Here is a 14,233-nt window from a genome sequence, read left to right on the forward strand (position 1 = left end):
ATTTTTAACATCCACTCTGGTGTTTGTTGGAAATTTGCCACCGATTTTAGGCTCGAGCTGAAGGTTACCAGGATTTATCATTGTTTCCCCAGGATGTTTAACCCTCATGGGCTCCTCTTCTTTCATTTAAGACACTTGAAAAAAAAATTCTTGTAAGCGCTTTGGCCATTCTGTTTAAGAAATTTGTTTTAGCTCCTACGGTTTTGTAATCCAGAAATATTTCTGAAATGAGGAGTGGGGAGTATTGGAGACAGAAAGCAGCTGTGTGCCAGGAAATAATAAGTAGCATGCAAAAATATCACAGCTAGTAGATGTCCTTTACGAGTGGAAATATCTATATTTAATTGCCTTAAAAATGTGGGGTGGAAAAACACAATTATACATTGTGATAACAAACCTGTACAGTTAATTTCTGAATAATACAAAACAAGTGCTGAAATTTTTTTCTTGATGATTGAGATAATTGTCCCCGAATTATGACATCAGCTACCCAAATATCATGTTGCCCCATCTGCAAATACTTGAAGAGGAATAGTTACCAATTGAATGCATTTAGATTCATCCTTAATAAAAAGAAAATTGCATAGCTTTTTATATTGTTGCAAATTCATCTCCCAATATCATTGTCAGCTTAGTGATATTCTCCATATTTTAAAATTTCAATTTTTAAAAGATACATAATATATAATTCCTAATAATTATAAACACATCATTTTACTCATCTGGTTTTAATAACATGCATTTTATAATTACTGTACAACCAAAATAGACATTGAATTATGCTGTGTGCATGTCTTTATTCAACAGTATATTCTTAGACACCTTGTTCAAACAAATTAAATAAGTTTAAAAGAAAATTAAAAAGAAAAAAATCTTTCCAGTAGAAACAGAATCACAGTGCTTCACAGACAAAAGGAAAGGAAAAGAAGTTCTCATACGAAAAGAGATTTATTATTACATAGAAAATTCTCACAATAGTTGAAACACACTTCAGAAACTAGTAAACACCTTAGATAGAGTTGTGCCAATTACTCAGCCCACAAGCATCTGCTTTGTCTTAATTAGACAGGGGAGGTGAATGACCACTGTTTATTTTCATTTTCCTCATTAATTATGAAAAACTGCATTTAATTCATCTTGCATTGTGAGAGATTGGCTGCGCAGATGTAAGTCGTAAGGGAAGTGGCTGTCGGTGGGCAACCTGAACATGGCACCCTGCCCAAGGGGACCCCTGGGTGGCACTGCACAGTAATGCATGCCGTAATTGTAATTTTTACCATAGTCCAAGGTTTCTTCTTGCTTCAGGGAAAATATCCCATTATAGTTAATTGGGGGAGGACTTAAGGGACCTTCAAACTGAGGGCTGGCACACTCAGGGGAAGTACTTTCATAGAAGGATTCATACGCACTGCAATAATTGTAGGGTTTCATGGACTTGGAATTATCAAGAGTCCCATGCCCTGGGGGAGTGGTGAGCTCAGGGCTGTGGTAGGGTGGGTAGAAGGTAGAGTAGGGTGACCTTGTGTGGTGTGCAGCCTCCCCACCCTGACCCATCAGGAAACTCCTGGCGTTGAGCTGCAAGCAGCCTGCCACCAAGTTTGTAGTTGGCTGGGAAAGACCTTTGCATAAGTTTTGGACGAATGTGAGCAGATCTGGTCTCTTGCCGATTCTCAGAATTTCAGAAAGTGCCCAGATGTAGTTTTTGGCCAGTCGTAAAGTCTCTATTTTGGACAGTTTCTGGGTTTTAGAATAACAGGGGACCACTTTTCTTAAGTTGTCCAGAGCGTCGTTGAGGCCGTGCATCCTGTTCCTCTCGCGCGCGTTCGCTTCCTGTCTCCTGAACTTGACCCTTTCCAATCGCAGCTTTGTTGTCTTTTTTTTCCTAAGACCCCTCCTTCTAGGCAACCCATTTTCATCTTCCTCTTCCCTGTCTTCCTCCTCTTCTTCTTTCTCGGTTTCTTCTCCAGGGGCCCTTTTGATGCTCTTTCCTCGAAGGACAATCTGTTTGGAAAAGCTTTCTGGCTTCTTAATTTGCTTCTGGTCCTCGCATTCTCTAGAAAACTTTCTGCACATCTGGGATTCTGGCATTACAACAGACTCATCAAACGGTAGTGTTAACATGGTTCTCTAATCTTAAATTACCTGAAAAAATGCCAGCACAATATTTAAAGAGTTTTCATTTTTAAAGTTTATACACTTAAAACATATTTAATTATTTAATCATAAGATTACAAAAACACGTGAAAAAGACTGATTCTGGGCCTGATTTTTTAACATTAAATATAATTTTGAGTTTGTGAAGATAAGTAATTATGAAGACATTGATGCATTCAATAGGATTATTTATATGAGCAAATTATCAAAAGAAAATAAAAATGAAACATATAATTATTGTGATATCATTACCATCTACATTTCTCTTTGCCTTTAAACTGGATTTTAATACCCCCAAAAAAGATTGTGGAATTCAAGCAAATGCAAAACATGAAATTGCAATGCAGAATTTCATTAATTCCAATTCCCCTGAGCACAAAATGAGAAGATAAACCAGTTTTTAAAATGGACTATCTCTCCATTAGCTGACAAATTTGTGTTCTTTTTTTAAAACAAACAAACAAACAAACAAAACCTTAACTTTATTTGCTGTATCACACAACTGTGAATTTAGATAAGTGGGTGTGGGAATATACAAATTTAAAGAAAAGATTATAATCAGAGTCAATTTTTCAACTGATTTTTTCTGATCAGTAAAGAATTATGTAAAAGGGCACTATTTTCCCAGGCTTCAAAAAGAAAAGGGGATTAGGCTAATTTGGAATAAACTCTATAAATAAATTTAAAACATAAAAATCACTAGCAATTTCTTTTAATTAAAAAAAATAGAGACTGATTTTATTTACATTTAAATTTTTTCCAAATAGAATTGTCTGTTTACTGCTGTTCAAATCATCCTGGACAAAAACCACTCTCGTAGTGTTTTTGTTCTACGAGCCATAGAAGTCTCCCTCTAGCTAATATCTGACAGGAACGGTCCAAGGATTCTGACTGCAATTGTGCACGTGTGTTCAGAATCCCAAATGAAAGGGGAAAATAATTTGTGTTTCAAATGCATTTTGGTTTTTGTCTGGTGAAGCAGCAAGTATTTTCATCTAAAGTCTTCAAACAAATAGGCACATTAAAGCAGAGACTTTTCAATTTAACAATCTCCAGCCCCCTCAACACACACATATACACACGAACACATACACAAACTCTTAGTAATGTCCACATACTTGCAGTGTTACATAATAGCAGTGAAAGTATGTGATAATTACATCATAAGAATGAAATATGATAAGTTATAGATGGCAAAGAGCATATAAATACTATAAGACAGTGACACTGTATCTTTAAATACTTGCATGCAAAGCCAGCATCAATTGAAGTATATCTTTATTTATATTACCTTAGGTTTTAATTTCATTCAATAATCAGTTTTCATTTTGGGTCTTCCAAATCTTTTCAGGCTGAGTGTCGCATCGTCTCCTGGAGTCTCTAGATCTGTGTATATCTGCACTATCTCATTGATCTCTAAAAAGTGACATTGATGCCAACTGCCAGAGCTGGTACCCATGCCATCTGCTAGTGACGTCACAGGGCAGAGAGAGCCATGTGATCCTCTCTCTTGGGACCTTCATTCTGCACTGATCATCTGGCATCCCTGTAAGTGGGTACCAGCCTTCATGCATCAACACAGAAGGTTAGACTGATAGGAAAAAAATCTGCACCAGCATTTCACGTACAGTAGGTGCATTTCTCCTCGAACTGCTTCGGTTTCACTGGCAATCTGTAGAAATAGCTGTGTTAGTGTTCAGTTTCGCCCTGCCAAAGGTGCAAGTATTAGGTGATCGTTAATATTCCATTCATTTACAAGGTGGGCTTTTGTGTGAGCAAGAGGTTTTTTTTGTTGTTGATGATGTTGTTTTGTAAAGATCACCATCCCATTTGTGCACCTGGGTACCCAGGGAAAGAAAGCCGTGAAAAGGAGCTGGAAACTGGTCTTAAGACGTTTAACCAAACTAAGATTTGTGTAAGTGAACAGGGGTCAAAAAAGGTCTCCTTTGCTTGTTTTGTTTCACAGCGTGTAACTTATGAGTGTGTGTCTCTGTGTTCTCTTATTAACATGTAAGACTTCTGTGCTTCTTAGGCATTTGGAATAAAAGAACAGCTTCTCCATCTGGGGTCTGTGAAAGACATCCTCAAATACTCCCCTTCCTACACTTGCTGGTATCTTTCACCAACTTTTGCAGAGACACTGCAAGTCCGTTGTTAAGGATTTCAAACTACATACTTTGTCCTCTGCAGAAAGTCACTAACTTCACTCTTTTATTGTCCCTTATCTCTTCCCAGCGTTAACTTGCTTGTTCCCTCTCATTTCATTTCAGACACAATAAACATAAAAATTATCACTTAGGTGTTTGTCTTCCTCTCCCTGACATTCTGCTGAGTATTTTAATCAAAGATTAGCTTTCCTGTTTTTGTTTTTTTTTCTTTTTTTTTGACTTTCAGATTTTTTTCTTTCTCTTAAAAATCTTGTCCTCACATTTTTCTCTAGACCAACATCAATTTAAATATCTTCTTGTTCTTGTATCAGTGTCCAGTTGTTTTTCCCTGTCAGGTGTATTTCAGATTTATCTTTTTTCCCCGCTCCACACTTTTGGTTTCTTCTTAACAAAAGCAGGGTGGAAACAGTTAAGCAAAGCTGGCAAAGCCTTATAGATAATACGAACTGTGGAGGCAGAGACAAACTCCACCTTCCTCCTGTTTTCTCTTCTCCCGTGCCCCCACCCCTATAAAGGACATTTGATTTCAGGATTGCCTGCCAGTAAAGTAAAAAGTGCACTTAAAAAAAATAAGTAAAAGTTTTAAAATAAACAAATAAACGCAACCTTTGTTGTTTGGCAACTGAGTAATCTCTTTCTATAAAGTGAGAGAGTATGCTTTTGGTATTAAAGTAATCCCTGCAGAGCTGTAACTGTTGAATCTGTGTTAGCATTCCCCTTATAAATCCCAGTTTTGCAAGGTTTAGAATTCTGCTGCTTTAATGCACTTTGGATCCAAATTGGCACCAAGGGCCTCACACTAAATTCAATTTTGCTTCTGTCATACCCCACTCATTTCCACCTTCTTCAAAAAGTTGCTTGACTTTTCCTGGACAGTTCTAGAAATGTTGGGGAAGCTGGCAAAAAGGAGAATCAAATATGTAAAAGCAGATAATTTTTCTCTCTTAATGGCCCAGTAAAAAATGCAAATTTAAAATAAGAGTCAGGCTATAAACTCCTAAGTTAAAATAGGTAGGTTGGCCTAGCTTCTGTTTTTTAAAAAGCCAGATATACCATAGCCATTGTAAAATTTGTTGTTTAAGAATATATTACTTGGTAATGGGTGCATTGAGTATATTTCAGATGGCTTTTAATTCAAGAAGTACACACAGTTTTTATATTAGCATAGAGAATTTCTATAGGAAGGCCAGTTGCAGAATTTTGTTGGTCTCCCATATGATTTAATTTTTAAATGTAAAGGAGCGTAAGTATCAGAGTCATGAGCCACAAAGCAGCCAGTGCTGTCTTGAATTTTGTATATTGCACCATATTCTAAACTTGCAAAGTCTCCAAAAGCTGCATTGTATTAAAGGCATCACAAACATGAAAATCAAAATCCAAGGAATAGATGACATGATATGCCAGTAGAAAATTACCATGGATGTACTTCATTGAAAGGGTAGATTTTATATTTTATCTTGGCATTTGCAGAAAAATGAGAAGCAATTTATCGATAAAAACATTTGAGGCTGTGCTATTCCTGCCTTTGAACACGAAAGAAAAACCTTTGGTGCTGACGGGGTGGAGGAACAGAATTAGTGTTCAGGTTTTCTGACTATTAATCTATTGTTTGGATGCTTTAGTCTTTTGTTTTTTTTCAAAAAAAAGGTGGGGGTAATAAAAAGTTGTTATGTCAAGATTTAGCAAGAATTAAGTGTGTTTGTACAATAATCTTTCAAAAGAAATTTTGTTATGCATTTTCTACTATAGTTCCAGATATGCAAATGCCTGTGCTGTTAATATGCATTCATAACATACACCATAAGGGCTGTTCTACTCTCTGCTAAGAAAGCATGTTAACACCAATACTCCAAACAGAAATACATTCTGACTTATAGATGAATATGCAGAGTATGAGAAGTGTATTATCACCATTTCTATAATGTAGTTTCTCATTTTACAACAACTACTGCATACCAAAGTTCATATCTCTAACTCATTTTGGTATTAATTTAATTGATATGATTTTTGCTTCTGGGGCCATGCAATTTTATATTTTTTAAAACGTGTCCAATGTCTGTCTGTCTGCCTATCTCTTGCTTTCACTGGGTAAATGCTCATATTTCACTCATAAAAATGAGCCACGGAAAATTTAGATATAATTTTGACTCTGTTGTAAGACAATAAAAACCAAAAGTCCCAATTAAGGCTCGAGTGTTGTTGTTTTTTATGTCATCCTGTTGGTGCCTGTGTCTTAGCAAGTGGGAATTCTATTGACTCCCTTTTTCACAGTCCTCTCATCATTTGAGATCAGTTTGAAACATGACAGGCATTTTTCTCAATTCTCCAAGGGTATAAGGCAACAGAATGTGGACTGGGACAGGATCAAGCAGCACAAGCCCAGGACCAGAGTTTTTTCCCCAGATGTGGGGTACTAACACACACTGAGATCAATTTTGAATTTTTCTCTCTTTTCCTTCCTTCCTTCCTTCCTTCCTTCCTTCCTTCCTTCCTTCCTTCCTTCCTTCCTTCCTTCCTTCCTTCCTGTCTTTCTGTCTTTCTGTCTTTCTTCTTCTTCTTGCCTTAGACAGATCTTCAGGGTGCTCATGAAGCTTGTGAGCAAGCTCCTCAGTGTTAGTTCCTAGAGTTTTAACTTTGTGATCCCCATTGGCTTGAAATAGTTTTATGGCTGTGGCAGTGTCCCACTTTGGAAAACAGTCCTTGGAATTTACGTAAAAGTGTTTTAATTATCAGGCAAAATATAAAACAACCTCATTCCCTCAAGTCCTTAGAGGGCTTAAAAATATAATTTAAACATAGATGGTACAAAGATGTTGCTTATATATACACATGAGGATTATGTAGACTAAACAGATAATCTGTAATAATTTGAGGGCAACTTTTGGATTACTTATTAGATTTACTTCAAGGTGAAGACTACACTGAATTATCTTATTATTATGTAATAATTATATTTGTTGTTTATGTGGCTCATAGACTGCAATATTCAGTCTTCTATTATGCTTTGCTCAAACAGCACTCTTTCCGGAAATATTCTTTATTATTTTTCCCCCATGGAACATTTTACTGACCAAACCAGATTTAATTTTTATTTCTCATTTGTTATTAAATAAGGGCATCTAACACTACCAGTTAAAACTTCTACCAGTATGAGAAAACTAGTATTACTGGACTGAGTTCTTATAATTCCAGCCACAAGTAGCGAGATGATGTTTTAACTTTTGTGATCTCACTGTAAGGAAATGTACAGTTTTCTTTAGGCTTTAAAAATATTAAGAATAATGTGTTAACCCTAATTACTACTTTTTATAATACTGAATTAGAAATTATTGTTCTATTCCAATACATGTAATGTAGTGATTATTTTTAAACATAGAAGACAGAAATACAATTTGTTTCTTTTTCCTATTACATTCATTCATTTTGTAAGATTGAAGTAAGACCATTTTATAAGACCTTTATGCAAGAGATGTTTTTGCAAAAGTTTTATGCAAAGTGCATTTTTGAAAATCAAGTTTTATGTTAGGTGATGGTATGATGAAGTGCAGGCTCTCTTAACACAGACGATTCCTGGATGGATTTGAAGAGGTCCTTGAGCCTCCCAAGATGCTGTGCAAATTGGCACGTATGTACATACATGCACTTTTCTAAGGAAAGGCTTTCTTTGTCAGATTCTAAAAGGGTAAGAATGACAAAGAGTATTTTGACATTTTACTAACCTTGTTTCAAATCTTGATCCTGCTGTTTAATAGCTGTATGTCATTCATTCGTTCATTCATTCATTAGTTCATCAAAATCTTATTGAAGATCTATTTTGGAGTAATTTTTGACTCCTTTTTTTCTCTCACATCCCACAATCAATATGTCAGCAAATCCTCTCAGTTCTATGTTAAAATTACACCCAGACTCTGAGCACTTTTTAGCAATTGCCCTACTCCTACTCTGGCGGCCGAGAACACCATCACCTTTCACCTGGCCTAGATGGCATCTGGGCTTTCACTCTTGGCCCCTTACATCCCATATAGGACTCTCAATTCAGTAGCCAGAGACATCTGATTAGAACATAAATCAGACTGTGTTCTCCTGTACTCAGAACTCTCCAGTACTTCTCCTCTCCCTCAGAGCAGAGGCCAAGTCCTGGCAGAGGCCCAGAGGTTTCTCCTGGCTTCTGCGATTCCATCTTCTGCTTTCCCCTGAACTCACTCATCTCCAGTGACACTGGCTGCTGGCGATTCCTTGAACACTCAGGCACCGTCCCACCTTAGGGTCGTGGCACTGAATTTCCACCTGGCATTTTCTTTTTGCAAATCCCCGTGGCTTATTCTCATACCTTTCAAGTCTCTGTCCACATGGCCCCTCTCAGTGAGGCCTCCCCTGGCCCTCCTAATTTATACTGTGGCCCTGCACCCACTAATTCCTCCCTATCCATTTTCTTCCTGTTTTACTTTTCTCTGTAGTACTTATCACTTTCTAACACAATACATTGCTGATTTCCAGTGTGTATTAATCTACATTTCTAATGCCTGCCCATGAAAGCCAGGAAGTACATACTTGTTGAACGAAGAAATGTGTACCAGGCACTGGGTTAGTGATGGCCATTCAGCAGTGTGTACAGCAGCTGTACAAGGCTGTGGGGGAGTTTGCAGTCTAGTAGGGGAGACAGACAATGAACAGGTAAACACATGCATGTGGAACGTACACATCAGAGGCTACAGAGAAAAATGGGAGGACCTATTTGATTAAAGCACTGAGGAGCCCTTTCTGAGTCGTCCTTTAAGCTGAGACGAGCAGGTGGAGCAGCAGAGGCAGGAGCTCGTGCTGTTTCTTCTGGTCTGGGAAGACTAGGAGCAGCGCCGTGACAGTAAGCCCTGGATCGTCCATGGGTGCCTGGGTCGTGGTAAAGCATTTCGAATATATTCCAAAGGAAGCCTTTGGAGAGCCTGAGGCAATTTAAGGTTGGAAACATTTTCTTTAGCTGGCTCCAAGGAGAAGATTTGGAGAGGGCAAAAGAAGAAACAGGGAGAGAACAGACAGGGCTCAGGACACACTACCCCAAAATTTGGCATATTGAAGCTGAAGGAATTTGAGAAAGCCTTAGAAGCAGGAAGATCTCTCAGACTTTCCCCACTTCTCCCTTGAAGCAGATGATAAAATATAGGAAGGATTTTCTTTTCTATTTATTCCTTCCTTTAGAGACAGTGTCTTACTGTGTTGCCCAGGCTGGTCTCAAGCTCCTTGCCTCAGGTGATCCTCGTGCCTTGGCCTCCCAAAGTGCTGGGATTGCAGGTGTGAACCACTACACCTGGACCAAGAAGGATTTTCTGACCTTCCCCTGAAGCAGGTCAGAAGACCTGCATGTGAGAGGTGCCCTCCCTACACCCAGATGAAAGGAATCCCTTGTCTTTGAAGACATGGGAACACAGATTAGAATCTGAACAAACAGATCATGCTAAGTTTCCTCAGTTTATTACCATTAGATTACATTATTTGTCACATCATATTTCTTCTTGACTCTTCTTTTTTATCAAATCCAGTATAAAAACACTCAAGTTTAACTCTTTGTTTGGGTTGTCATTTCTTTATGAAGGCTCCCATGTCATAGAAAACTTATTAAATAAATGTGTATGCTTTCCTCTGGTTAATCCGTCTTTTATTATAGGGACCTCATCCATGAACCTAGGATGGGTAAGAAAAGAGATATTTCTCCTCCTCCACAGAAATTACAAAGCCTGTGAGAGTAGACAGAGCTGGAGGGGATGACTGTGGCCCCAGGTTGAGTGGGGGCAATGGAAAGGGAGAAAAAAGGAGGCATGGAAATATATTTTGGAGATGGAATCGATAGAATTTACTGATTGAATGGATGTAGATTACCTGTAGGAAAGTTATAAAACCTCTGGTCATGAGGATGATGATGATGACGATGAACAAAGTATTCATTCATACGCAGGGCACCGAGGATCAGGCTAAGGGCTGTATAAACATTAGCACATTTGTTCCTTGCAGTAAGGTAGATGTGAGTGTCCTCATTGCAGAGATAATGAACTTATGGCTCAGAGATATTAACTAATGTTCCTGGACTGCTCAGTTTTCAAGTGAGAGAATCATCATTTGGACCTAGGTCAGCCTGAATCCAAATCCTACCTTTTAAACTACTATACCTTGCTACCTTAAGAATTAAATGATCAATGTCAATGGACTGCCTAGGACTGCCTCTGGTATAAAATAAATACTGAATTAATAACATTAGATGAAGTAGCAAAACTTGACCGTGAATCTATTTACAAAGTGAATAATTATCTTACCAATGTATCTGGTGACTTAAGAAGAGTCACCAGATATATTACACTTTTCGATGCTTTTCTTTTTTGGATCAATGTGTATAGGTAGTTGTAGACTGTTATATATGGTGAAATCATATAACAATAATTACAATTGTCATGACAACAGCTCTTTTTTTTTTTTTTTTTTTTTGAGATGGAGTCTTTCTGTGTCACCCAGGCTGGAGTGCAGTGGCATGATCTCGGCTCATTGCAACCTCCATTTCCCAGGTTCAAGTGATTCTCCTGCTTCAGCCTCCTGAATAGCTGGGATTACAGGCATGCGCCACCACGCCCAGCTAATTTTTGTAATTTTTAGTAAAGACAGGGTTTCACCATGTTGGTCAGGTTGGTCTCGAACTCCTGACCTCATGATCTGCCTGCCTTGGCCTTCCAAAGTGCTGGGATTACAGGAGTGAGCCACCGTGCCCGGCTGACAACAAGCTCTTATTTGACTCCGAAGAGTTGAGGGTTGAGTTGTTCAATTTTATTCCTTCATTGTTTTTCATTCATTCAACAAAACCCTTACTTTTTTGTTACTACTATAGATATGAGAGGAAATATGGATACATAACAGAGGCCCAGCTCTTATGGAAGTCAGAGTTGAATTAGGCACATGAAACGCATCCACAATCATCTAATTAAAAATAGTATGAGCTCACTATAAGAGAGGTTGTTGTTAGGGATAAAGAAAACATTTGACTAGAGCTTGCAAGTATGTGAAGAATTTTTTTTTACCTTTATTTGAGATATAACAGAGACTGAAAAGTACACATGACAATAAGTTCACAGTTCAATTAAATTTTTCCAAGCTTAACACAGCTATATGACAGGATCAAGAAACAACAACACCGGCTACCCAGAAGCCTCCTTCTTCCGTCTTACAGCTACCAGCCAGCCCTCCCCAAAATAAACCAAAAACTTGACTTCTAACTGCATCAATTAATTTTGTCCATTTTGTACGTTATATAAGTGAAATCATGGGCCTGGTTCCTTTATCTCAACTTTTTTTGTGTGAAGTTTATCCACATTGTATGCAATTGTAGATTGTTCACCCTCACTGCTATATAGTATTCCATTGCATGACTATACCACATTTTGTTTTTCCATTCTGTTGTTGATGAATATTTGGGTAGTTTCTAGTTTGGGGTTATCATAAGTGCTATTCTAGTATATTTAATTTGGTAAACATATGTATGTTAGCCACATCCCATTCCTATGTATATATCCTACAGAAATGTGTACGTGTATTCTGTGTGTAGGACTTTGTTTCATATAGAATGGGACATTTGGGAAGAGGTAATCTTTATTAATTACCTGCACAATCACACACATCCTAAAATCATTATACAAGTTTGATAACATTCTCCCAAAGCTAAAAACACACTATCAAGAAGGGTATTGATCACCAATCTACAGATTTTTCTTGAATGATTCCTTCATATCAAACAACTGTGTTTGATGTTGGAGAGAGTAGAAGACACAATCCCTTCATTCAAGGAGTCTGGAGATCTGTTGAGGAAATAGAACTGACATATTTGAAGCATTGTGATGCACCACTCTGGTACAGAGTATCAAACAAATGAATATCTGCTTTGTTTTCCTAACAGCCTTTTGGAAGACAGTGCAAACCTAAGATTATGCAGTAGTTTACCAAGAACATATTTCAGAATATTTGCCTTTAAAGAGTACTTCGGTGGAAATTTAAGTTTTCTAACATTATGGCTAAATTATTAAAACTAATATTTGATCAATGTTATTATGAAGACTAATTTTTTGAATACATTGTTCTAGCTTTTCTGCATATATTATGTAGTTTTTACAACAGCTATATGAGGATTATATGCATAGGCAGACTGGTATAGTGGTTAAGGATGGCAAATGGCACCAGACTCCCTGATTCTGCTACTTTCTAGCTGGATGACCCTGGGCAAGGTCTCTATGCTTCAGCTTCTCCGTCTCCCAGTTGGGACTGATTCTATTCTTATCTCATAGGTTGTTGGATATAAAGGGCTTAGAATGATACCTACTACATAGGAAGCATCGTATTATTTGACAGATTAATTTAAAATAAAAATTGAGGAAGGGTGGGAGAGTTGAGTATAAGGCATTTATGTGAAATGATTTCTCAACTCTTTGTGAAGAAAAGGCAATGTCTGTGGCAATGTCCTGTGGTTGGTCATTCAAGCGTTCAGGGTGTAGGTGGAGAACATGTATTATATTGTCAATGAAATCAATTATTCTGAAGGTATTATCTAGACCTCTGCTTGCAATTTCAGCACCTTGGACTAGGAAATATGGCAATGTTTTAAGGACAAATAACTTCTTAGTGAAGCTTGAGCCAGACTACAAATCTTTCAGTGACTTGAACTTCTTGGCTGTGCATACTCCAATTCTTTCCTACATAAGCCTTGCAGCCTTTGCTCTTTGTCTCTACCTACTTTCAAATCTCTTGGTGGCTTTGATGGAAGGAGTACATTGCACACCAAGAAGACACACAGAAAGCATTTTCAGTCCTGATGTTTACACGCTTGCAGACAGAAGCTGGCAAGGTGAGTTTGGAAACTAAAGCTTTAGGTTGAACAGCTGACCTTGCTAAAGCCACAGATTCAAATGGAAAAAGGCAGGAGCTAATCACCACCAAGGGAATGCACTTATTTGTCCTGGGATGTAACATATGCAGTTAGGTCTTATAACCCCTAGAACACATTAAAAAAAATTTCATGGTTCACACCTTACAGGAATAAACAGCTAGTGAATCCTAAGGAAAATGAAAAAGCTCAAATCATTATTTGTCTTTTAGTATTTTAGACGTCTGGTTGGTTGGCTCTGTTTTGTTGTCAAATTTCATCTAATTACAATATATTTTTCATTTGTGTTTTAAAATAGCAATCCTAACCCACTGTTATTATAACATATGTGGTAAGTTGTTATTCCCAGGGTGGTGATAAATTTGTGGTGATCCATTCACATCCTCATGGGTTGGAATTAATCTTTCTCCTCTGATTTCCCACTACACTTTGTGCTTCTATTATTGTGCTTAGTGTAATTTGCTTTGTAGTATAGCTATTTGTGACTGCATCTGTCTCCCCTACTAGACTGTGAGGACAAAAATGATCTCGGATTTCTGTTTGTTTCATTTGGCTTTGCAGTACCTGCATCACATAACACACTGATTTGCACATAGTAGGGACTCAATAAATATTGATGGTAGAATCAATTGATCAATTACAGTTGCAGCAGATTTGGCTGAAGAATACCTCAGAGCAATGAGGCCCATCTGTCAATAAAAGCTGTGATCTTTGCCTCATTAACACCATGGCTAAGCAATGAAATAAAAGTCAGTGACAAAAGGCTTTGTGTCCCACATACCATAAGCTAGATTGTAGATTATGTAATTCCTTCAGCAGTAAAAAATCCTTCGGAAAGCAAGAGGCTATATAGTAGCAATAATGATCCATAATTTTATACAGTCTGCATGTGAAGGTTGACCCCAGCATACTCTCTCCTGGCTTTTTCAAAGGAGCAAGGCTGTCCAGTGCTAATTATTTCTTTCAAAGTCTAGAATAACTTTTTCACTGAGCAGTTTGCATT

General features: G+C 37.6%; 1 protein-coding gene across 1 annotated transcript; it reads right to left on the reverse strand.

The window, feature by feature from the left end:
- Positions 1-317: 317 nt before the first annotated feature.
- Positions 318-3,579, reverse strand: NEUROD6 (neuronal differentiation 6). Its single transcript, NM_022728.4, has 2 exons — positions 3,446-3,579; positions 318-2,142 (listed from the first exon to the last, which is right to left on the reverse strand). Exon 2 carries the CDS (start codon positions 2,119-2,121, stop codon positions 1,108-1,110), a length of 1,014 nt encoding a protein of 337 aa, NP_073565.2. The 5' UTR covers positions 2,122-2,142; positions 3,446-3,579; the 3' UTR covers positions 318-1,107.
- Positions 3,580-14,233: the final 10,654 nt, after the last annotated feature.

The sequence above is a fragment of the Homo sapiens genome, chromosome 7 (assembly GCF_000001405.40).
Source record: "Homo sapiens chromosome 7, GRCh38.p14 Primary Assembly".
NCBI classification, from domain to species: Eukaryota; Metazoa; Chordata; class Mammalia; order Primates; family Hominidae; genus Homo; species Homo sapiens.

Bases quoted from the DNA above. Each gene is read 5' to 3' on its own strand.
- NEUROD6 (NM_022728.4), bottom strand. From the start codon at position 2,121: ATGTTAACACTACCGTTTGATGAGTCTGTTGTAATGCCAGAATCCCAG.